General features: G+C 40.0%; 1 long non-coding RNA gene across 1 annotated transcript, besides 4 other annotated features; it reads right to left on the reverse strand.

The window, feature by feature from the left end:
- Nucleotides 1-5,588: 5,588 nt before the first annotated feature.
- Nucleotides 5,589-18,674, reverse strand: LOC105373872 (uncharacterized). Its single transcript, XR_923875.3, has 3 exons — nt 18,604-18,674; nt 18,042-18,143; nt 5,589-5,656 (listed from the first exon to the last, which is right to left on the reverse strand). It is a non-coding gene; the product is annotated as an uncharacterized LOC105373872 (long non-coding RNA).
- Nucleotides 6,669-7,508: an enhancer, noted in NCBI's record as "NANOG-H3K27ac hESC enhancer chr2:218073575-218074414 (GRCh37/hg19 assembly coordinates)". NCBI's record gives its function as "activates a minimal SCP1, AML or CMV promoter by ChIP-STARR-seq in naive H9 embryonic stem cells {active_cell/tissue: H9 hESC(naive)}" and the evidence as "EXISTENCE:reporter gene assay evidence [ECO:0000049][PMID:30033119]".
- Nucleotides 16,042-16,210: a silencer, noted in NCBI's record as "fragment chr2:218082948-218083116 (GRCh37/hg19 assembly coordinates)". NCBI's record gives its function as "represses an EF-1alpha promoter that drives an FKBP-Casp9 reporter gene in an ReSE screen in HepG2 liver carcinoma cells {active_cell/tissue: HepG2}" and the evidence as "EXISTENCE:reporter gene assay evidence [ECO:0000049][PMID:32094911]".
- Nucleotides 16,950-17,189: an enhancer, noted in NCBI's record as "active region_17104". NCBI's record gives its function as "activates an Ori minimal core promoter by ATAC-STARR-seq in GM12878 lymphoblastoid cells {active_cell/tissue: GM12878}" and the evidence as "EXISTENCE:reporter gene assay evidence [ECO:0000049][PMID:35858748]".
- Nucleotides 21,180-22,379: an enhancer, noted in NCBI's record as "P300/CBP strongly-dependent group 1 enhancer chr2:218088086-218089285 (GRCh37/hg19 assembly coordinates)". NCBI's record gives its function as "activates an origin of replication core promoter dependent on BRD2, BRD4, P300/CBP, MED14 and CDK7 cofactors, with strong dependence on P300/CBP, by STARR-seq in HCT116 cells {active_cell/tissue: HCT116}" and the evidence as "EXISTENCE:reporter gene assay evidence [ECO:0000049][PMID:35650434]".

The raw sequence follows: 26,132 nt of genomic DNA on the forward strand, positions 1-26,132 counted from the left end.
TTCTTTGCATGATAAATATTTCCTCCATCATTTTACTTTCAATCTATCTTTGTCTTTATATTTAAAGTGCATCTCTTTAGAGAATAGAGGGATGGTTACCAGAGGCTGGGAAGGGTAGTGAGCCGGGAGGGGAAAGTAGAGGCATGGTTAGGGTACAAGAAAAAATACTTGGAAAGAATGAATAAGACCTAGTATTTGATAGCGCAACAGGTAGACTATAGTCAGTAATAATTTAATTGTACAATTAAAAATAACTAAAAGACTATAACTGGATTTTGTAACAGAAAGGAAAAATGCTTGAGAGGATGGACACCCAATTTTCCATACTGTGATTATTACGCATTACATGCCTGTACCAAAATATCTCATGTAGCCCATAAATATATATGCCTACTATGTACACACAAAAATTAAAACTTAAAATTAAAAATTAAAAAAGTAATAAAATGCATCTTTTGCTTTTCTAACCAGTCTGGCAATCTTTCCTTTTAATTGAAGTAAATTATAATCTAATTAAACATAACTCAATTATTTATACTTATAAATTTAATTTAACATTTAATATAATTATTGATATACTGGGATTTAATGTTACCATCCTGGTATTTATTTACTATTTCTCCTGACATCTTGTTGTTCCTCCATTCTTCCTTTCATTCCTTCTTTTGAGTTCATTAAATATTTTTAGTATTCCTTTTCTGTCCTCTGTTGGCTTTTTAGCTATCCTTATTTGTATTTTTTAAATGGTTCCCACAAAGATTAAAATATGACACTTTAACTGATCACAGTGACTAGAGTTGACATTGTACCACCACCCATAAAATATTTAAGTCTTACAATTGCAAAATTACATGTATTTTTTTCCTACTATTTTTGCCACCTTTGACATATATTTCACAAGCAGAACCTCTTTTCATATTTCTTGTATTACAGATGGATTCTTTTAACTTTCATTTAGCTCATACATTTCCTTTCCTCTCAAGAATCACAGCCCCGTACCGCATGTTGTCCAAATACCTAAAGACAGTTTCCTCATATATTTTGGCAGTTTTATGGTTGTTTTTAGTAAGAAGGTGTATTAATTTGCTAGGCCTGCCATAACAAGGTACCACAAACTGAGTTGCTTAAACAACAGAAGTTTATTGTCTCACAGTTCTGGAAGCTGGAAGTTCAAACGTAAGATGTCAGCAGGGTTGTTTGCTTTTAAGGGCTGTGAGGCAGACTCTGTTCCTTGCCTCTCTCTTGGCTTCTGGTAGCTCAGGCATTCCTTGGCTTGTAGATGAAAATCTCTCCATGCCTTCACATCAGCTCCTCTCTCTGCATGTCTCTATGTACAAATTTCCCCTTTTTGTAAGAAAATAAAACCGTATTAGTTTAGGACCTGCCCTGATCACCTTATCTTAACTTGACCATCTGTAAAGACTCCATTTCCAATAAGGTCACAGTCACAAGTCCTGGGGGTGAGGACTTCAGCATCTTTTTAAGGGACACAATTCAACTTATAACAGAGGGTAGTTCTAGTGGGATATAGTCCATTATAGCTAGAAGCAGATGACATTCAGGTTTCTTTTGTCAGTGTCACTTTTCTGTAAATCTGCTCATCACGTTCAGTGGGGGAGTTGGGTGGATTGAGGAAAGATGGAGGATGGAGAGGGGTGCTGGAAACATTAGGACTAATGAAAGCACTTTTTAGTAAAGAAAATTGAGATTCTCCAGAATAAAATGTTTCCACTTTCCTAATTTTCTCTTTGGCCTGTGCTGTGGTTCATACCTATTACAGTTGTCTTAAGAGGGAAATAGGAGCTTTTATGTTCACTCATTCATTATAAAAACAAAACAAAACATATATTGAGCACTTGCCTGTGCCAGATATGTGCCTAGTAGCTGAAGATACATCAGTGCAGGAGATGAATATGGCTCCTGCCTACATGGAGTCTTCCTTCTAGTACAAATGTGGAGTCCATCTCGTTGCTTAATTTTTCTTTGAATTGTGGCTTTAAAAAACTAATCAGTATAGAGATTTTAATGTATCTTTGGCCAAAAAAAATACAGTGCAGGAAAAAATTGAAAAGAAGTAATTTTTTGATTCCTTCTTTTGTTCAGCACATATTCTTGAACACACATTGGACCTAGAGATTAAACTTTCCCCCTGGAGCTGTCTGAACGTGTGGAATAATGTAGAGGAAAGTCTTCCATTATGGAGTGTGGCAGACTCTATTGTTTATCTTGATAATATGCATTATTTCCTTTCTAACCCCCAAATGCCTAGATAAATGAGTGATTTTGGGTATCCAGCCCCACTGCAAGATCGTGTGCTTTAAGAGGAGGCTCTTAATTGGTCTAAGTTGGTCATGATGGTTTCATGTAATAGAAATGTGATCAAACTCTGGTCTATGAGTCAGGAAGAAAGTATGTTAGAGACTGCTGGAAAACAAGGTTTTCTTGCTTCTTCTTTTTTTTATTTTTATTTTTGAGATGAAGTCTCACTCTATAGCCCAGGCTAAAGTGCAATGGCATGATCTCGGCTCACTGCAACCTCTGCCTCCTGGGTTCAAGTGATTCTCCTGCCTCAGCCTCCTGAGTAGCTGGGATTACAGGCGCCCACCACCTTGTCCAGCTAATTTTTGTATTTTTAGTAGAGACAGGGTTTTGCCATGTTGGCCAGGCTGGTCTTGAACTCCTGACCTCAAGTGACCCGCCCACCTTGGCCTCCCAAAGTGCTAGGATTACAGGCGTGAGCCACCACACCCAGCCAGTTTTCTTGCTTTTAAAATAGATACATAGAAAGAGAAAGCCTTTTCTTTTTCTGGAACTTGTGACATCTGTATGTGATGTCTGGAACTTCAGCAGCCATCCTGTGACCATGAGAGGGATGAGCCTAAGGATAATGTTGATAGATTGAGGATAGTAAAGCAGAAAGAGGGGAAAAAAAAACTTGGATCCTTGATGATATATCTGAGTCACTGAAGGAACCAATTTTGAAACCGTGTTAACTTTGAGCTTCTTGTTCAATAAGAAGGGAACTTGATAAATTGTTCTTCTTATTTAAGCAATTTAGAATTAGGGTTATACTTATAATTGTGTCAAAGAAAGAAAAAACAAGAAGCCCTAAGAATTTTATTTTTTGACTCATTCCCCACCCTCCCAATAGAGGAGGAACTTTCTGCTATCAGAATATCTTCATCCTCTGCTTGTTAAATCCAGTGCTATATATTTTGGGAGGGGAAAACCAGACACGTACCTCTTTAAAAGATCTATGGCCTGTAATAAATGTCTAAATTTCTCTTCAGCATATTTTTGTGTTTGCAGATTCAGAGACAAGAGACTTTAATCACGGCTGCTAAATCCCCCTTTTAAAATTGAATTTAAAGTAACATTTGAGGCTGTGTATATTGGCTGCAGATTCCTCCCCATATTCTTCCTGGGAGTTACCCACCAATGACATGAGAGTCCCTCTCTATAATAAAGTAGCTTTAAAAAAATAGCTGCTTATTAAGGCAGAGATTCTAATATTAACCTACTATTCCACTGAATAAAGGAATTGGGTGTCTTTTATACAAACTTGAGGGTCTGGATGTATTTCTGCACTTTTCTTCAATGCTTTACAGAATCTTAAAATAGCATTCCCCCTCCTTTCCCTCCAATTCCATGCAACCACAGCAGAATGTGAGGTACTGGTTTGGGGCTTTGGAACCAGTGTATGTTATGTTCAATTTTATTTTCCATGCTTAAATGAAGTTAGTTCCTTCCTCTTTCATTTGGGATGTAAGAGGGGAAATGAATATTATTTTTATAAATATGACTCGGTGTTCTGCCCAAGTCTGCCTGTGGCCATCAGGAAAGTGGGATGTTGGGGGTAAAAAAATATGGAAAAGGAGTGTCCAGGGAAAGTATTTCAGAGATCCCGGATTTGTCTATAGCCTGCTGGGAGTTACAAAAGAAAGGAAGAGGCTTTTTCTGTCTGTAACATTATACAGCCTTGGTCTACACCAAACACCAGGGGCAGGGGGAAATGGATGGGTGGAGTGGGTTGACAACTTGTAGGAAAAGTTCTGATTTTGTGGTAGTCTGAGAATGCCAATGAATGTTTATGTATTTAATTTTGAGAGTGGAATTTCACTAACTCTCCTGGGAATTGAAAATAGGGCTTTATTTAATCTTCTCCCTTTGCATTGGAAAAGAAAAGAGCTGAAGGAACTATAAAGAAGCGAAGGAAGAAGGAAATGTAGAGAATATTTCATTCACCCTTTCATGCTATGGAGAAGGAAAGTGAGACCCAGAGCCAGGAAGTGAGTCCTCCAGGGTCACACAGTGACTGACAGCAGAAGAGGCATTGTGGTGAGTGGTAAGAGTGGGAGCCTGACTCCAGGTTCCAGCCTGTCACTGCCTGGTTGTGTGACTGTGGGTTAGTCTCATAACCTGGCCGAGCCCTACATTCCTCACCTCTACAATGGAGATAGCCACAGTGCCTTTCTCATGAGCTTGCTATGAAGATTAGATGAGTTAATACTTTTAAAGAGCTGAGCACCTGGCAAATAATACATGCTCAATAGATTCAGCTTGAAGGAAGCCCCAACTCAGAAGGAAGCCGTGGAAAGCATGATGCTGACCTTGCCGTACTCTTCTTCCCCTCTATTCTCATCCTCCCACGTGCCCCATTCATAGGTGGCTGAGACAGCAGAGACTCCCCTAAGGAGGAAGAATGAACTTGAGCTTTCAGCCTGGGAACCTCAGACCCGACAGAAATAGTAACAAATCACTTTGTCTAGTAAGCACCTGGGGAGCACCCTGACATATTCCCTATCTTGTATTTTGCTAGATTTGAGTTTCCCAGGGGACATTCTGTTCTCCGTTTATTTTTCTCTCATCTTAGTTCCTTTCTTTACAAGAAGAATCTAACTTGCCAGACACGGCTTAAGTGACGTGTGACTGGAGAAGGCCCATGCTCAGGGGGATAGATTTTAAGATGCAGCTGCCTGTTAATGGACTTGGTGAAAAGACTGGGTAAGATATCATTCATTTTTCGTAGAGGAGACAAAGATCAGATTGTGGGGAGGTGATGAGAGATTCCTCTATAAGCAGAGCTGGAGACTCCTGTGTATCAGGTATCTTGTGCCTGGCAGTCTCCACAAATCCACAAGTATTTGCTTCTCTCTCTATCGCAGCCTCTAAAAGGTTAGATAATAACAAAGGCAAGACTCATGTCGCAGAAGGGGATCATGGCAAGAAAGCACAGCTGTTACCTGACTCTCCTATTAAGCCAGACCTCAGGTTTAGCTTGAGGCATAAGCAAAGGGAGGTGGAGGAATTATTAGGGAGCAAGGCCTGGTGGAAATGAAATACTGTGAAGAGCTGATGTGGGGCAGCCAGTGCACCACGCGCCAGTTCATCGGCTCTCCACGCTTCCCTGTGAGCCGTCATCCTCGTGCTCATTTTGCAGATGGGCAAGAGGCCATGGCGTGTCCAGCATGCTCTGGCAACTTACCCTGTTGGTCTCTGAAGCTCCCCACCCTCTCTGCCTTCGGGGCAAATCCAGGCATTTGCACAAATTTGCACGGCTCAGGGTCTGTCTGCCTCCCCTCCGGGGCCTTGCTTCTCACAGCCCGCTTTTCTCTGCAAGCTTCAGTGGAACGGAAAAGGATCTATCCCCGGGTTGCTGGGCAGAAAAGAAGAAACAGGTTTAGGCAGATGAAGTGCTCAGGATAGTCCAGGAAGGGCCACAGGGCTTGAGAGGGAGACAGGCCTGGAACCAAAGGCAAACAACCCCTTCATCATTGTGCCTGGGCTAGTACTGACTCAGCTGCTTCTGTGTGCGGTGGAGGAAATTGCGGCTTTGGGTAGCTGGGAAGTTCTTCAAGATCCCATGTTGAAGGAAAAGCTCAGCCCCCAGCCTCAAACCACCAGGGAAGTCTGTTCTGCAGCAGTCCAGGAGCTGGTGTGAAGGGGTTGAGGCCCTACTATGCCTTGTATTCGGGGATTCTCAGCCGGAAAGGAACATTTCCTGTTATCTGTGGGTTTTAGTTCTTCCCCGCTCTGGAAGTGGAGGGGAAAAAAAATTACCAGTAATCTGTGGGTTTGGACGTATACATGGTCTTGTGGGGCCAGAGTAAGCAGAATAAAATTAAGTTGCAGTGATGCTAATGGTTCCACTTTGTTTGAGCAAAATGACCAGAAAGGAGACGAGAGAGGTGAGCCCAGAGGGTGGAAGCCAAGATGGCCGATTAGAGAACCAATTTGTTTTAACAAATAGTTATGGTGTCTCTCTGGGCAGGTTACTATGGCAAGATACATAGAAGTTTCTTTTCCTTTGTATTTTTTTCTTCTCCTTATTTTTCTTGTCCTTTCTTTCCCTTTACTGACTTTACTAATAATAAAAGTAGAACATTACATACCTGAGACAACAAGTCAGATTATATGCAGGTATATAAAGAAAAAATGATACCCCCACCCCCACCATTCTATCCTTCTGAGGAAAGTGAAGTTAATGGAAGGACAGGCACCCTTCAATATCTTTCTGTTATCTAGAATGTTAAGACTTATCCCTATTTTTTTAGGAGCCGACTCATCTTAGAGGCAAGAACATGCATGTAAAGAATTATAGCATAAAGGTTTTATACTTATAAGGGCTTTATAAGTGACTGAGATGGCAGGACCTCTGTGGAGTGAGGCTGTGAAAAAGCTGGAAATCTGGGGAGAACTGAGAAAGACTGAATAAGATATACAAGTTTTGAGAAGAGGTGCAAGTCAGGTTACCAAGATGCTGTTATTTAAATGCCTTCTTTCTCACAGAAGCTCAGAACAGAAAGGTCCTTAGAGGCCAGTGGTCCAGACCTTTAGAGACGCATTCACCCTAATGGCTCTCCAGACTCCCTGTGGTTGCCTCCAGGGCCAGAGACTTTGCTCAGAACTTGCTCATGAACAGCCACTACTCTCCCTGCTCCCTATCAACAGGCACACCAGCCTCTTTCTAATACTCTTTATATTCTATGCTCATATGTTACAAAATTTTTATGCATTTGTTCTCTTCCTCTTCTGTATAGTTTAAGCAACCTGAGGGCAGGGGATGTGTTTTGTTTATTTTTGTTGACTGAGTGACAGAATGAATTACTTAATTATTCGAGAAAAGAACAACCAACATATCCTAGGCCCTCTTATTTGAATACATGGAGTCAGCCATGGGAAAGGATTAAAACCTGAACTTCTTCCTGGACTTCACAATTTGCTCTGGACGTGCTGATTCCTACATTTTTCCTGAGATCCTTCCAGTTGAGGAAGAGATTCTCCATTCTCCCCTTTGGTTATATCTAAGGGTCTATGCAGTGTGAGCCAAAAATAAAATTCTAAGCGCCACAACTGACTGAATGGACCCTCTGTTGGCTCAGGGGATACCAAACAAACCTGAAAAACTAGTTCAGGCCATGATAGAAAGAGGGGCTTGGACATGCCTAGTTATACTCTTCTCCCTCAGGCACAACTAACCAGCATTAACATTAAAATAGAGCTCATAAGACTGACAAAACAGACTCTTTGTAACAATAATATGACAAATTCCAACCTAACTGTGGTATAGCATCACATGACAGATAGCAGGACATGAAGTATTTGTATTACCCCAAAATATATTTATTTGGCATATTTGGAAGAGGCCCTGCAAAGCTATCTTTTGTGGAGGAAATTTGCATTCTGTAGAGAATCCCCTTCCTTCACTAGGTCGTTTCTGGAGAGTCTGACAACTTTTAAGTACTGATAAGAGACATTTACCATCTATTCTCTCTGAAGCCTGCTACCTGGAGGCTTCATGTGTATAATAAGAACCTTGGTGGGCCAGGCGGGGTTGCTCAAGCCTGTAATCCCAGCACTTTGGGAGGCTGAGGTGGGTGGATCACGAGATCAGGACTTCAATATCAACCTGGACAAGATGGTGAAACCCCGTCTCTACTAAAAATACAAAAAAATTAGCTGGGTGTCGTGGCGGGCGCCTGCAATCCCAGCTATTCAGGAGGCTGAGGCAGAGAATTGCTTGAACCCAAGAGGCGGAGGTTGCAGCGAGCCGAGATCACGCCACTGCACTCCAGACTGAGCAACAGAGCGAGACTCTGTCTAAAAAAAAAAAAAAAAAAAAAAAGAAAAGAAAAAAAAGAAACTTGGCTTGCACAATCTTTATCTTAACTAATGCATTTCTTTTTTTTAAATTTTCATTTTCATTTTAAGTTCTGGGATACATGTGCAGGATGTGCAGGTTTGTCATATAGGTAAACATGTACCAAGGTAGTTTGCTGCACCTATCAACCCGTCACCTAGGTGTTAAGCCCAGCATGCATTAGCTATTTTTCCTGATGCTCTCCCTCTCCCAACCCCACCCCCCGACAGGCCCCAGTGTGTGTTGTTCCCCTCCCTGTGTTCATGTGTTCTCATTGTTCAGCTTCCACTTATAAGTGAGAACATTCAGTGTTTGGTTTTCTTTTCCTGCATTAGTTTGTCAAGGATAATGGCTTCGTTCCTTTTTATGGCTGCATAGTTTTCCATGGTGTATAAATACCACATTTTCTTTATCCAGTCTATCATTGATGGGCATTTGGATTGATTCCATGTCTTTGTTATTGTGAATAGTGCTGCAGTGAACATACATGTGCATGTATCTTTATAGTAGAATCATTTATATTCCTTTGGATATATACCTAATAATGGGATTGCTGGGTCAGATGGTATTTCTGGTTCTAGATCTTTAAGGAATTGCCACATTGTCTTCCACAATTGTTGAACTAATTTGCATTCCCACCAACAGTGTAAAAGCGTTTTTATTTCTCTGGAACCTTGCCAGCACCTGTAGTTTCTTGCCATTTTAATAATCACCATTCTGACTGGCATGAGATGATATCTCATTTCTTTATTCTAACTTCAAACTCTTCAGGCAAAGCTTAACTCTTTCAACCAATTGCCAATTAGGAAATCTTTGAATCTCCCTGTGACCTGGGAGGCCTCCCCACAGCCCATCTTTGAGATATCTCACCTTTCTGAGCCAAACAAAGGTATAGTTTCCATGTATTGATTTCTGTTTTTACCTGTAACTTCTGTCTCCCTAAAATGATTAAAACCAAGCTGTAACCCAACCACCTTGGGCACGTGTTCTCAGGACCTCCTGAGACTGTGTCATGGGCCATGCTCCTTAATCTTGGCAAAATAAACCTCTAAATTGATTGAGACCTGTCTCAGATACTTTTTGGTTTACAGTAGAAACTGTGTATATCATTACATACATTCCACTCAGGTGAAATACAACTGGTATAAAAAGTAAAGGTTTAGCTGAATTTCTATAGCAAGGCCCCTTTCTGCTGAAATGATAGAAGGAAAAACTCAACTTTAGTCCCTCTTGTGGGTTCTTATCCCTCACTCCTGTGTTGGTGTGATAGGGTGGGGGAGGCAGGGGAGGCATCTGATCCCTATTAATGCACAAAACAAAACATAAGGCTTTATTGATGTCCACAGCAAAATTATCTTTAATGCTATAAAGCTAGATCACACTAGGGCTAAGTCCACAGTTTGGACAAAACGGTTGAAGTGTGAGGATGTCATACACAATCTGTTGTTTTTTTCAGATACATCAGGGATTTAAAAATACACATCATTTACATTTTCATCTTGAGAAATTTTCTTCATGGCACACTCTAGAAAACTGAGAAATGAATGGAAAAGGAAAACTTAAAACTTAGGAAAAAATGGTATATTAGTACTGGTGGTTGGTATGAAGTCTGTTAAACACAGAATTATCTCCAGGTAACAAATATGGTTACAAAACAAGCAAATGTTACCTTTTATGTAGAAAATAAACTTTATACAAATACTAATTTATTATAAAGGAATTGTCACTGAAAATCCCAGATTATATGAATCAAAATTGAAAGAGAAAAAGAGGGTAGCAAGTAAGATATTCTAAATTATATATTGCATCGGAAAAGTGGTTTTTGACTTTGATAATCACAGAAAAATAATTAAAGTAACATCTTTGGAAAACATAAAGTTTACCACCAACAAACCAAAAACAAATGTTTTGCCTTTCAAATCATTAGTGCACAGAAAATCAAACACAACCTAATCCATATATCAAAAGAGAAATTAAAAATGCAGTATAAGAAATGACAAACAGAAAGCCTAAAAACTGGGATATATGTATAGAATTATACATTTATACTAATTGTTATATATAAAATTCTGGCCAACCTTAATTGCATAGCTACTATGGGTCAAGCTAATGTTAGATGCTTTGTGCCCATTACTTTTTTTACTGACTCTTTATGGCAACCATAGTAATACTATATTATTGTTTCAATTATACAAATGAATCAACAGTGAACAAAGCACTTTCCTGACGTCACATAGATGTAAAAGGAAGATTCAAGATCTAAACCCTGACCTCTCTGCCTCACAAACTTATTCTTGGTTACTGCACTGTCCCACCTGCACACAACACAGTGAGAGGCAAGATACCAAATCTATCCATTGTGTACTCCCCAATTTAAAGTCAAAGACCTAAATTGTATCATAGTACAAAATATAACATGTTGCTTATAAAATAAATGCCTTAAAGATGGCATAAAAAATACATACACACCATCTGTGTGTGTGTGTATGTGACTGTGTATGTGTGTGTATGTGTGTGTGTGTGTATTGGGTAAATATAAAAGAACAGAAGCAACAGTGTCAATATAAATTTCAAACAAGATGTAGGATTAAAAGACATTAACATGATTGGAAAAATTTCATATTGATCAATGATATCATCCATGAGGAAATTACCTTTACAGACTGAAAATTTCATGACAAACTATAAAAATCAAAATCGGGAGTTTGAGACCAGTCTGACCAACATGGAGAAACCCTGTCTCTACTAAAAATACAAAATTAGCCAGGCTTGGTGGCGCATGCCTGTAATCCACTACTCAGGAGGCTGAGGCAGGAGAATTGCTTGAACCTGGGAGGCGGAGGTTGCAGTGAGCCAAGATCGTGCCATTGCGCTCCAGCCTAGGCAACAACAGTGAAACCCTTGTCTCAAAAAAAAAAAAAAAAAAAAAAAAAATCAAAATCGCTAAAATGATTAGAAATACAATATAAGAAAAAAATGTAAGAAAAAGTGAACACAAAGGTATTGTGAGACACTCTAACACAAATATCAGTTTTTGATAGATAATATAGATCATTTATATTGATTATGGTATATATATACCATTTATAAGTGAGAATATGCAGTATTTGGTTTTCCGTTCCTGTGTTAGTTTGCTAAGGATAATGGCCTCCAGCTTCATCCATGTTCCCACAAAAGACTTGTCCTTGAGGACGGAGGGTGGAAGGAGGGAAAGGAGCAGAAAAAATAATGGGTACCAGGTGTAGTACCTGGGTGACAAAATAATCTGTACAACAAGCCCCCATGACACGAGTTTACCTATATAACAAACTTGTTTATGTGCCCCGAACCTAAAAGTTAAAATAAAATGTAAAAGAAAAAAAGATAACATAGATCAAAAATAAAGTCAGTGAAACTGTAAACAACAATATTAGTTATATTAACATGTATGCATAAGTATATAATGTGTATATGCACATATATTTACGTATCTAATATAATTCCCCCTCCTTGGGGGAAGGAGATTGGGGGGATCTGAAAAACAGACTCCATAGCTTCTTTCCACTTGCCCACAGAATGCTCTGAAAATACTATTAATATACTGCATTAGAAAGAAAATCTTAATTTATAAAAGCTAATATTTAGGCAACATTTTTGCACTAACATATCGGTGACCTATCAATTAAAAATGACATCAAAATTAAAAATGTATAAAACAACAACTAGCAATTTAAAAAAGTCATGCGAAGCTTGGATGTAAGAGGAAATCAAAATTGCAATGAACATTTGTTAGAAAATATTGCATTCCTACACTACTACAAAACATGAAATTACTAAATCTATGCAATGTAGCCAAGCCTTACCTAGAAGCAAATTCATAATCTTAAATGTTTTCCTTATTGATAAAAAAGAATAAAAATAACGGAACCAAGCATTCACCTTAATTATTTGGAAAAAGAAACAGAAAAAAAACAGGAGGAAATATATAATGGGAAATATAGAAATCCAAGAACAAGGAAACCAAAATATAAGTCCAATAAAGTCAATGATTAAACCCAAGATTTAATCTTTTGATTAAAACAAATCTAACACATACAATTTGAAAAAATCTTTTAAAATGTTGGTTCCCAACTATCCTAATTATTATTCTCATACTCTCAACTCATGTAAGTTCTCAGTGTCTCTACTTCAGTATAATTCAAGGAACTCTGGTCTTCCCACTTTGATCCAATTCACCAGAGCATTTCAAGTTGGCCCCATGGTTTGACTACCAGAGGGCCTCCAAGGGAAATAGGCTGCCGAGGAGATTAGCTTCAGTAAAAGCTTTTACCGGAAGGCTTTTACAATGAGCTCCATCTTCATGGTAGGGCTGGTCTCAGACAAGAGATATGCACCATCAGGTCTTTCCCCAGGACCAACGTCTGGGTGAATGCAGCCCAATTACAGGGGAGGGGACTTTCCCTTGGTACAGAAGAGTATACTCTGTATGTTACCGTCCTGATTTGCCCTACACAAAATGGGTGCTCAATTTTTGAAAGATTGAGTCTTGGCAGAAAGTTGCTTATTCTTGCCTACACCACACCGTCTCAACAGATTTGAGTTTTCTATCCTTGTGTCATCACCGAAGCACAGAAGCATGGGTGTGAAGCAGGAAACTTAAAGACAAAAGCAGAAATCAGAAAGCAGAAAGAAGGAAGAAGAAAGAAGGCTCCTCACAAACCCCAACCCTTTGAATATGTCCAAATTCATCAAATTGTACAGTAGTAGGTGCAGTTTTTTTGTTTACCAACCCTACCTTAATAAAGCTGTTTAGAAGAAAAAAAAAAAAAAAAGACTATGGAGTATATCCAAAATACCAGGATATTTCAGAAATGAAAGCTGATTAAACATAATGATTGGTCTATTAAAAAAACATAATAATTAAAAAAGTAAAAAATAAATAAATAAAAATAAAAAATTAAAAAATTAAAAAAAGACCATCCCTTCTGTCCCAAGTAATCAAATAACTCAGAATAGTGAATATATAGTTAGCCCTCTCTGCTGCTCATGCATTGTGCTGAAGACTTCAACTCATTGTTTCTTTAAGCAATAGTATGAAAAAAAACCACACTTTTTTTTAAAAGCTCTATTATTATTCCTTTTTAAATTACTTACTTTTTTAAATTTTTACTTTTTGAGCCAGAGTCTTCCTCTATTGCCCATGCTGGAGTGCAGTGGTGCAATCATAGCTCACTGCAGCCTGAGCTTCTGGGCTCAGGCCATCCTCCCATTTCAGCCTCGTGAGTTGCTGAGACTACAGGCATGTGCCACTATGCCCAGCTGACTTAAAATTTTTTTTTTTTTTTTTTTTTTTTTTTTTTTTTTTTTTTTTTAGAGACGAGGTCTCATTTTGTTGCCCAGGCTGGTCTCAAACTCCTGCACTCAAGCCATCCTCCCGCCTAAGCCTCCCAAAGTGCTGGGATTATAGGTGTGAGCCTCTGCACCTGGCCCTTTTCTACTTTGAAGAAACTGAGGCTTAGAGAGGTTATAAGAACCTTTCTAAAGTGATCCAGTCAATGACCCAAGGAGAATTGAAACCCAGGCAGCTAGTGTCCAGCATTCAGCATCCGTGCTCTCTCTTACCCCTGGTCTGTATCATGTTTCCAAAGAAAGCAACTTCTACCCTGACAGGATCATTCTTGAGAACTCTGACCTTCCTTCCACCCCAGTTGACATCTCCACACGGGAGGGGGAGATTTATTTGATTGATGAGACATAGAAGAATCATCATCCACTCATCCATGTTCCTGCTTGACTGCAGTGAGCGAAGTTAAAAGTCAGAATACATGGGGCCTCACTCTCCACCCTGCCCCCAGCCCCAAGAGCCTCTCCGTCCCTGGACAAGGAGAAGGCACAGTTTTCCTCGTGTCTGAGTAAGCATCAGCTCTGCAAATGCAATTCAGCCTTGGGTCCCAACGTTTCAACTTAAGAGGAAATATAAGGTTGCCACCTACTTTGGCTTCAGATTTTAATGTGCTCTCCAGTTCAGTTTCCCAAGCAATTAAGCTGATGATCTCTAGTGAATTCCTGGGTCTAGGTATCAATTAGTTCAGAGCTTTGACGAGCAGGGATGTGAGTATTATCAGCCTGAAACTCATCCATTCACACCCCACAGTGGGCTTCTGCCCATGCTTCTGGCTCTAAGAAACTAAATCTTGAGCCTGTTACATGACACTTTAAAGTGCTGTGAACACATGCCTAGATAAATGTCGGAGAACCCACTAAATAAAGCAATGCTCTATCAATGCACAGGACAGCTACATTCCAGAGACTTCCTCTCTGAAGATTTTTGTAGGATCGCGCAGAGGATAACTCTCAAGTAAAGGGGAAATGCTTTCCTTAAGTTATTCCTGTGTACATAAGGTTCCATGTCAGCTCGTTAGTGCAGTGCCACATAACTCTTCCCTCCCTTTGGGGCAGATGAGCTCCAAACATCTCTCCAGCCAGGCAGACATCCTGGAATTATGGGCAAAATATCCAGGTCGCATATGAGACAAATTCCCTAGCAGGGGAATAAGACAAAATTTGTCTTAGGATCCTTTCTTATAAACACAGGAAGCATCATAAAAGAATAACTTCAACCCATTTTTACTCAAGGAGATGGGTGAGTTGATGAATTAAATTAGGTTTTGACATTTTCTTGACAAGAAACAGATCACTGCAATTAGAAGAGTTTGCAGAGTAATTATTTCACATTGCTAGTTCAGACTGCTTTCACAGAGAGATGGGTGTTTCCCTTAATATGTGGCCATGACATAGGACAAAATGGGTGTATTTTGGATAGAAACACGGAAACATGAAGAGGTATATCCTTTGTATACAGTGACTAAAGTGCCTGGTCAGCTGTTTCTACCAGCAGGGGTGCAAATAGGTCTTGACAACTTCATGTTCTGTTTCAGATTTATAACCCACTGAAAATATTTAGAGTTTTAAAACTCTAGGGCCATGATTGTGTCACAGGCTCTTCATCTGAGGCAGCACATTGGAACTCGTTTACTGTGTGTGATTTTTATTTTCTAAAGATTCCTCTTCTCTTCTTTCTTCTGTTGTCTCCCTCCTTCCCTCTCTTTCATTTTCTCTTTTCTTTTTTAAACAAGGAACTTTGCTCTTTGTCAGAAGGTGATAAAGAAGGCAACAATGACCTTGAATTCCTGTTCACGTCCAAATTGTATTGGGATGTAGAACTCAATTCCATCTTGGAGTAGTTCTCCGGTAATGAGAAAATTCATACCAGGCCCTATTTTCAGCCTGAGAGTCCCCTTCCGGCCCCTTGGGAACATCACAGTGGAGAGAGGCCCCCTTAGTGGCACAATCAGCCTCTCATTTCTCCGGAGGGGTTATTTTTTGCATATTTCTGGCAGCCTGGCCTCTGACCTATAGCCTGATGTAATAGGGTTCAAGTTAAATAAAGTCAACAGTTGCCTGACCTATTGTTATGTTCGCCTTTGGTCCTTCTGCAAGCAGAAAACTTGCTTCTCTAGTAATTCTCAGCAGGTTAAACCTCTCTTTGGATCTGCTTCTTCTCTGATTTCTGAATTGGTGAGAATGAGCTATGTTAATGGAAAAAGTAGGGAAGGATTGAGATGATAAAGAGAAATTAGGAAATATACTGCAAAAAAACCCGGCGGAATTAAAGAACTATGGATGAAGAGCCACAGATGTTCACGGAGGCTTCAGGTTCTGAATATGGACAAATATGATGCTGCAATGTGTCAGTTTCAGACACCTCTGCACTGAGAAAGGCTAGAGAATGCTAACATCTCATCTTTGGAAAGGATCTTAGAAATAATTTAACCTGGCAGTTTCAGAACGTTTTTAGCAACTTGATCTTTTCTTTGAGTCTAACTCAGATTTCCAGTTTATAAAACAGATACAATCAACGCTGCCCTAGATAATACCCCAAAAAGGAGGCTGAGGGCCTATGTCACCTCTGCCCTCCTTCCCTCACCAAACAGCCTCTGAGATGCCTCCTCAAAGCCCCTGTCTAATCAGCATGGAGCAGAGCCTGAAAACCACTGAGAACACAGCATGTCCCAAGACAGGAGTCACCTCTGCAGGATCCCTGACTCAGCCCCACTCATGGGAATTCACAGCAGCTTGCCAGCAGCTGAAACTGCCCTGACTTTCACCACCAGAGTGGCTCTTCACCTCCAGAGCCTGTGAAACAAACTTACCCCTCTGTCCATGTGACAGCCTTCAAATATAGGACCACAGCCAGTATGTCTCCTTGTGGTCTCCACACCCCATTGTTTGCATTCGATTATTTGCTCCTTGAGGTCAGGAGTTGTGTCTGTTTTGTCTTCACAGTCTCAGTGCCTAATCCAATAGTGAGTAGTAAGCGCTTAATAAATGTCCTAGAGAAAGTGGTGAGAGCTACGAGATGACACCTGGATGATTAATCATAAAGTAATTATAAAGACTCCAATTATTAAACTAGGCATTGGGTTCAACACTTTATGTACAAAATGTATTTCAATTTTTTGGAAACAATAAGCATTATTAACGCTGTTTAATAGAAGAGGAACTGAGACTTAGTGTTAACTGACACAGCAGGGCCACACAGCTAGCAAGCAAGAGGAGGGAGTAGGACTTGAGTCCAAGCTTATCTCAGCTTTTAACCACAATGATAGAATCTAGTGGTTGAGGCCAGTGTTGACAGATGTTCAGTAGAGACAAGGGCTGGGGAGGGAAGGAAAGGAAGGAGACACCGTGTAAGCAAGTGGAGGAATCCAGAGTTGCTGCTTGGGTAATTGTCCTAATAGATGCACTTCCACCATCACCACTGCCCTGAGCTCCATTTGTCTTCTTTCCTCCTTTTTCTCTGTCAGTTCTCATCTTGACCCAGATTTTTTTTTCTTCCAATAGTCAATGGGTGGGTACTGTCTGAATTCCTGAAGGGTTTCTGCTACTAGAACATGACCACCCAGAGCTGTCTGCTCTCCAATGGCTTAGCACATCAGCAGCAAAGGAGGCAAGATGCAGGCTGGAGAACATGAGATCACAGATGTATGAAACGTGCATAAGACAGCCTCTGGCACATGGCAGGTCATCAGATGATTCGGTGTTCTCCCCTCCTTTTAAAATTTCTTCATGCCAGTTTCCCACAGTCTCTCCTAATTTCCTTCTCTAGAGGCTCTAATTTTGTCTAGGACTGATTTGGCATTCCTGACCATCTGTGGAAAATGATGCCTCCCAGAAGACACCATTCTTTAAGACCTTCCTGTCGCAATCAGGACAATAAGCTCTCTCTTAAGGCCAACTCCCACCTTCACCCTGCACTTGTACCTTTCCTCATCATCACTGATGCTTCCTCCTTCTTCATTGAGCCCAATGTTAGGATGTGAGGCTTTTGAGCCTCCTTGTTTCATTATTAATGGAGCTTGAGATTTTGTTTCTTGCTTTGGAAGCTACATTGCAAATAAAAGCAGGGGCAGGAAGTGAGATCTGATTTTCTGTCTGGTGCCAAGGCTATGGTTAGATCTTTGAGGCCAATTTCCAAGTGACTTTGGATTGGAGTCAGAATACGTGTTTGAGGTAAATAGAGAAGAGAGCTATCTCTCAAGTGGGGCAATCTCAGAGACTGGTGTCTTGGAGAGATGTTTATTGGCTAAATAATAATTCCTTGCATATGTTCAGCATTTCACAGCTCACCAAATACTTCTTTGAGTATTATCCCATTTGATTCTTGAAACAATGTTCTAGGGTAGCTGGGAAAATAGCATTGTTCCCATTTTATACACACTCTGCACTCCTCAGTGAGGAGAGCAGAACTTATGGGACTTGTTCACAGTCGTTCAACCCTTTAGTGTAAAACCAGGACTGAAACCGAAGTTTTCTGACTGACTTGTGAAGATCATATGAATAAGGCAGGTATATAACTCACCTGAGAAAATGTCTTCTGCCTTTATGTATTTAGACAGTGTTAGTCTCTGTCCTCATTTCCTTTCTGAATCCTGGGTCTGTGTCCTTTTTCTCATTCGCTGTGCTGGAAAAATAGATAAAAGGAAGTGATTTGGAGAGAAGGAAGAGAAGAACGTGGTTCTTGATCTCCGGGGACTGGTTCTAAGACATGCTTCTGAGGCTGAGGTTGATGCTATTGTGAAACCCAGCATGAAGCATAACCTTGTTAGGTCTAACCAGCAGAGAGTGGGAGAACAGTGTCTCTCTTCACTTCTGCTTCCTTTCCTCCCTCCTTTCCCACCCTGCTTTTGTGATTTGTTAATTATTTGAGGCAAGGGTATTGGAGGTGTCTAGGCTCTGTCTTCTGACTCAGTCTCATCCCTCCCTGGCCCATAAAAATGTCTCAGAGGCCTTGTTGATCTGAGAATATGAGGCAAACCAACCATCTCGCCCTTTCTAGGCTTGTACATGGGTTTCGGAACTGTCCCCCCATAAACCCTCCCTGTGATCCCACCCACCCAGCCACTATTGCCAGCCCAACTTACTGGAAATCTCTGTTCCTCTAAAGCAGACATTGGCTTTGTTCCCAGAGCCAGGCAAAATGGAAATGCTTTCTAAGAAAAACACAAACAAGAGAATTACATCCTGATCTGACCAGTTGGAAATTTCTTCACAGTATAATTTTATTTGTTCCTCATCAAGGATGCTTTATCCCTCTTTCTGCAAAGGCTGGCCTGGTAGGTCAAGAAAGTAACTGATACTTATTTTTTTCTCTAGTCACTAAAAAAAAATCAAACCCATATAAATTGCTGTCAATTCTGGTGACTTAGAATACAGTTATAGTTCTGGTATCATAAATAAGCTGATATGATGGTACTGAAAGAGCTATAGGGTCCCCCTTCTTGAAAGATATTTAAAGATTTGAGAAACTCCGAAAGGCCTCTGGTCTGTGGCCCTCACTCCCCTACTTCACCCATAGCTCAGATTATGTTCTTTCGTAGCGTGGTTATTGGATTCCACTCAACTGCCACCGTCTTTGGATAATGCCATCCAAGAGCATGACTATTCTCCAATGTCTAAGTTCTCCAAAAACCTCTTTGTTTTCCCTTGACCACTGCAGTCCAGTAAATGCTACATTATGTTAAAGGTGACCTCATTTGACCTTCAAATCATCTTTAAAACTGGCCTTCCCACAGTAAAAGAATTTCAGACCATAGACTGCAACCATTGTGTTTATCTCACACAATATTGTTTTGAAGGCTTCTGTCAATGTAACTCAAGTTTGAAGCACTAAGCTGGCACTTGATATATGCTGCTGAACAGTCTAACTACAGGATATACTATCTATTATTTTAGTAGCAATGGGAGGTATATGCCAAGCCTTGTTTTAGATGCTGCAAATGCCAATGTGCCTATGAACAGTCCAGCCTTAGACTCTAAAGAAGCTCTTACTACATATTCATATTCCAGTTCATAGATCTTTCTCCTAGACTTTGATTTTCGGATTATTTAATTGTTGTATTATTACTCAATTTTGTATCCATTTTTGCTTCATCTCTTTCCTTTGTCCTAATCCTTTGGAGGGAATAGCAACAGCAATGGTGAGGAGAAAGAGCCCAAGAAAGGTAGACTTGAATTCTGCTCTTAATTCATTCACTCTGTGATCACTGACTTCTCTCTTTACTTCTCTTATCTCAGCGAATTTATATGTAATATTAGGAGAATAGAAATGCAAGGGACCCTAGGAATAAAATAATTACTTATTGAAAATAAATAGTCAAAGACGACTATTATCCAGGTGTTAGAGATGGAAAGGTAAATCAGATTTGGTCCCTGACCCTTAGGGGCCAGTCTAGCAGGAAAACAATCTTGGAGCCTAGAGCTTTTTCCTTGTACCCAGCACATGCCTTAAACTTCGTGAGTGCTGGAGAACCAGATGTTAATTTGGGTGTGGGATTTTGAGCTAGTTCTTTTACCATAATTGCTATTTCCAAGTGGAGCTGATCGTCTTTCTACTTTCTCTTTCTAGGGGAGAAAGACATATTCTAGTATAGATCCTAGGTATTCCCATCTGACCTATAAATTGACTTTGTGATACAGCAGAAAAGGCATAAATTAAAATATTATCTTCTGTTACAAATTCCATAGTTTTGGATAAGTCATGTCCCTTTTTGTGCCTCATTTTATCCCACTGATAATAAGTGGTTTGAATTAGATGAGTTCTGGGGTCCCTCCTACTTTGAACATTCTTTGAGTTGAAGATCATGGCCACATCACTCAGCCCTGCTACTGGTGCCCAGGCTCTGGCCTTAGGAGTATGTGTCTAAGCTATTTGGTTGTCTCTTTTTCTGCCCCTTTCTCCCTTCAATCCATCTCTAATATCTGTACACCAGATCCACTGCCTTGGGCCTACTATATGTATTAGGTTGGTGCAAAAGTAATTGCGATTTTTGTCACTAAAAGTAACCGCAAAAACCGCAGTTACTTTTGCATCAACGTAATACTTCTGCTTCTCAGTTTCTCAGTTCCTTTTTTCTGTCTAGTGCTTTTCTTCTTGAAATTAGAATCGTTCTCTCCCTAGATTTTACCAACCCCCCTGATTTGGCAGAGGACTCTCAGCTTGAACCATATCTTGCTCCTGTGAACCTGTTTTCTTCAAGGCTTTGTAGTCTCTATTTTATAAGCAACACCTATGGACTTCTGAAAAAACGACTTGAGAATGCTGTTTTTTATGTTTTACACTCAGCTCCCTATAAATTACCATGCCTTTGTATTTTGATCATTTCTATTACTGTTCAAGGTTACATAACCTCATTCTATGCTACAGACTGAATGTGTTTTTGAAATAAAAGGCAGGGGAAAACTGTCATTAGAGGTAGTAAAATATAAAGCTTTTTTATTTCTTTCACAGTCTCCCTTGACTTGTCATGGTCGTGTTGTTTTTCAATTTGCTATTTCATGTTCTAAATAAAGAAAAATTGAAATGATAAATTACTAGCATAGATTTACCATTCATCTTGATATTGTGCAATGACACTTTTAAATGCAAACTAAGAGTATTTCATTCCTATGAGATTACCGAAATCACACAATTTATACTTCATAGCTTGTACACGCATATATATTTTGCTCTTATCAGAACACTGTAAACACTGCACGAAACCAGTTCAAGTATTTGTACTTTTCTTCTTAATAATATGCACATTCTATCAACACTCTCTACCTTTGACTTACTGATGAGTAAGAGGACTGAAAAGAAAAGGCACTATGGTTTGCCCTATCTTTCTCTTTCCTTCTATGGTATCATTTTCAGTGCAAGTGGTTGACTAATAGAGGAAGTAACATGAGTAATAAAGGATATGACAGAGTCCCTTGCTAATTCTTGTTTCTTAGAATGTCCTTGCCCTCTTTCTGGCTTGAATGGAAAATGTGGCCTCCTGGGACTGTCAGTGGTGTGGTCCCCACATCCTTAGTTGTACACATAACATGCTTACCGTGTGCTTGCTTTGAGTCCCTTCTGAGCTCCCATGCAATGTAGACTCATCGGAATCCCGTGCTCATGGGATTTTATGAACACTATATGCAAATAGGACAGCAAGAAATGGCAGTAAACGCTTTTATTGTTGCTATCTCCTCTGCTCCTGCACATGCTCCATGGTATCGTTGGACTTCACTTACAAAACACAGATACAAAGACAAAATTACTAAGAATTACCAAGAATTTTAATTTCAAGATGGCAACAGAGTATTAAACCAAAGATGAAGTCGTTCTGAGTGTGGGGTTTGCGAGATGGCACAGGTGGCACTCCCAGGAGCTCGTCTTGGCCAGGTCGCACCCTTGAGTCCATTGGAACCTGAATCTCACCCTGCTCTGCTATGCTATACTGACTCCAGCTGAATTCAAGGAGTTACAGTTTGAAACTCTCCAGACTCCAGTGGCCATCCCACTTGTGGTGAGTAGCTTTAAATAAAATATGCTCACAAATTATTTAATATACTTTCCTTTAAAAAATGGAGCTTAATTCCTTTCAAGTGTGGACTATTTTTAGTGACTTACCTCTAAAAAATATTATATGGCAAAAGTGATGAAGTATGATTTACAACAATTGATCCTGGAAGATACTGCATCTTCCATCTTGCTGTCTCTCCTAGATCACTTGCTCTGAGGGAGGACATCTGCTGTATCATGAGGACGCAAAACCATCCCATGGAGGGTGCTACATGCAGAGCAGCTGAGGCCTCCTGCTAGTTGTCAGTGAGGAACCGAGGCTTCTTGCCAATGGCCATGTGAGTGAGCCATCTTGCAAACAGATCCCCTAACCCCAGTTAAGCCCTTCAGGCAAACTGCAACGTTGTCAAGTCTTAACTGCAACCTCATGAGAGACCCTAGGCCATAGCCACCAGCTAAGCTGCTCTTGAATTCCTGACTCAGAAACTTTGAGATCATGAATCTTTGTTGTATTAGGCCTCCAACCTTAGGGGTAATTGGTTATGCAGCAATAGATAACTAATATACCATTATTTTCAAGCGGGACTATAAGCTTGGTACAACCCAAACACCAAAGTATATCCAAGAGTTTTCTTGGCCATGTTAGGAAGTCTCAGAAGACCTCAAAATGAAAAGCAGACAAGCCTCTACTCATAGAGTGCACATTAGGCCGATATAATATTTAGCTTTTCTAGATGCTTTATTTTTTAGGCACTGTACAGTAAAACCAGGGCTTCTTTCCTTGCCTTGATAAATGGTGAATGACATTGGATGCCACTCTCACCCCCATATGCTCACCAAAGGGAGAAGAATTGCTCACCTGATTGGTGGGAGTCATAGCAAATGAAATAGGTCCCTGTGCCACAATTCTGCCAGACTCAGACCTCACTTGTCATTTGGAGGAGCAATTTTGAATCACATTCTCCACTGTTCCTTGCAGGCCCCCAGCAGTAGTAACCCGCTGCTATGCGCAGTGAAAATCAGCTCAATTAGACAGCCTTGCGCATGCTTTCCCCCATCTCTACTTCACTCCCCTTTCTTTTCCCACTAACTTCCTGTGATCACCTCTTGAGGACCTTGGTGAGAGCACTGGACCAAACCAAGACAGTTGTTCGGTCTGGTGTTTTGGGGTAGGGCATGCTTTACAAGTTGGTGAGATTACCATCCCCTAAAAAGGGAGGAAGCAGAGATATCTCTCCCAACTCTTGCTTCTCTTATTTGGCAGTCTGACCTATCAGGCAGGCTAAATGGCCTAGACTAGTTCAGGCCCTAAGGCAAAAATGTGTTTTTTTCTTGTTGTCCATGACATTATTTTTTTCTTGTCACTTAGGAGAATGCTTTAGGCTGGCTTTTTCTTACAGTACCAATGCTAAGTCTCCACCCTGAGTTTGGAAGTTAATTAGAAGGAAGAGAAGCAGAGGCATATGAAGGAACTAGCAACATAGAGGTGCCTCAAATGGGGCTGGGGTGAACTGTAACTACACAAAGGCTGGCATTAAAAAGTACAGCCCCACATGAAAGACTGGCCCCATTGTCCTTAGCAGGTGGTCTGGGCTGCTAGTTTGGCTGTTCAGGGATAGTTTGTGCCCCTAGGCAAGAGGCAAATGGTATTGTGGTTAAGGATGAAATTGGATTATAAGTAAAGGAGATTTATTTCGGAAACAGCTGGAATTGACAGGGCAGGTTATTGGGGCTGGCTTTAGCAGCTTTGGGGCCCAGCAATTTTGAAGTAGCTATTTTATCTGTTGATTTTAGCAGTATTGACAGTGACCATTGGGTTTATCAAGAATGGAGTCATCTAGGGAAGAGGCACTTGAGAAAGCAGGTATCTGATATTGATGAGGATGGAGGTCAAAGGGGTGTTTTTTGTCTACCTGAGAGTACTGAGGAAGCTTCCCTTCTCCGGAGTCTTCTGGTTGTGTGCAGAGAGGGTGTCACTGTTAACTGAGCCAGCAAAGGCTCATCCCCAGACAGGCTGTTTCTCAAGTATGGCTATAGGCCTTGAGGCTTGAAGCTCCTTCAGGTCTCTATAGCGTGACATTTTTGATGGTGAGGCACTGGCCCGAGTTTTCTCCTCCATCCTGCCCTGAAGCAGGGGTGAAGAACTGTCAGGTTTTTTAGGGTGTAGGGAGGAACCTTTCATGTCGTGCCCATGTAAGTCCAGAGAGGTAGAACTTTCTCCCAACACATTTAAAAGGGAAATTCTTACCCTCCATCTTTTTTGGTATGTGTGGGAGCCTGCAACTCAGACGACTGTATTTCCTGGTTGCTTAGTACTAAGGCACTGGAGATCACTGACTGCTCAGCCATGGCACAACCTCTTGTCTCTTTTGCTCCCTAGCCCCACCCCACCCTGTGATCAGGTACAGGGGTGATGTGCTTGAGCTTCATGTAGTATCTCTCAGGTCACTAAGGGGGGGAACTTGACATTTCCCATGTCTTTGCCTCTAGCTGACCCTTCTGTGCAGATTAGCTACATTTAGCAAGAAAGGAGTAGGAAGCCCCTACTTTGGATATGGGCCTTGGTTCTCCAGTCTAACCATTTCTAGAAATGGATGCTGAGAAGTGAAATTTGAGGCTATTATATAAATACAAACATATGTAACATACTGCATGTATATTCATATACATATATAATTTTTTCTGATCAATTTGAAAGTTGCTGACAGGATGCTACTTTATTCCTAAACACTATAATGCTACATACATATTTATTAAAAAGAAGCACATTCTTTTTCATAACCACAAGATAATTATCAAAATCAGGAAAGTAATATTGATGCATTATAGCTATATTCAAATCCTCAGGGCTTATTTGTATTTTTTCCACATGTATTAATAATAATTTAATGGCAACAGAAAATTCTGCTTTGCTTTCAGTTGCTGTCCCTGTTTAGGCTGCTTTAATTTAGTACAGTCCCTCAGTCTTTTTTGTCTATCATGACATTGACAACTGTGAAGAATGCATGCCCTGGTTATTTGATAGATGGTCACCCAAGTTGGGTTTGTTTGATGTTTCCTCTTGATTAGATTTAGGTTCTGAGATTTTGGCAAGAATATCACAGACATGATATGTTCTTCTCAGTGCATGATATCAGGGGACATATGGTATCTTATTTGTCTCATTTCTGGTGATGGGAATTTTGATCACTTGATTAAGGTGGTGTCTACCCAGTTTCTTCAATAATAAAATTACTAGTTAGTTAGCTAATAATTAATGAGAATCTTGTGGAAGGGTACCTTAAGATTACGTAAGTATCTTGTTACTCCTTAAACTTCCAGCTGCTAGTTTTAGCATCTGTTGAAGATTTTTGCCTAAATCAATTGTTATTATAATGGTTACCAAAGAGTGACATTTTAATTGACCCCTGGAATTATTTCTATGATTATTGGTTGGCTTTCTACTGTAAGAAAGAACATTTCCTTATCACCTGTTTTCTTATTTATTCATTCATTTATCCATTTATGTCATGAATTTTATTTTTTTCTGTGAATTGTATTTCTTTTTCTGTGAATTGTATTTCTTTACTATGCTTATTTATTTTGATTTGCAAATTGTCCAGGTTTGTTCAGTCTAAGCCCTTTCAAGCTGGTTCCTGTGTCTGTTTGACATATCTACATCATTCTTTTAACACGTTCTCACTTTTCTGGCACAACACCGTATTCTCAATTCATCTTGCATTTTTCCAGAATCAGCCATTTCTCAAAAGGGCTTGATTCCTTTTAGTGGCAAATGGCATTTTGATTGATTGCTACAGGGTGCCATTGTTTCTAGGGCCTGTCAGCAGAGATAGACAGTAGATGTATATACACACATACACTCATATATGCAAATTTATGTGTATACGTATGTAATATCCATGTCTATATCTGCAGATATACCTCAAAGATATTGTACAATAAAGCGAATATTACTATGAAGCAAGTCACGTAAATTTTTTGGTTTTCTAATGCATATAAAAATTTTTTACACTATACTATAGTCTCTTGAGTGTGTGATAGCATTATGTCTAAAAAAAGTATATACCTTAATTAAACCATACTTTATTGCTAAAAAATCCTGACAATCATCTGAGTCTTCAGTGA

The sequence above is a fragment of the Homo sapiens genome, chromosome 2 (assembly GCF_000001405.40).
Source record: "Homo sapiens chromosome 2, GRCh38.p14 Primary Assembly".
In the NCBI taxonomy this organism is placed as follows: domain Eukaryota; kingdom Metazoa; phylum Chordata; class Mammalia; order Primates; family Hominidae; genus Homo; species Homo sapiens.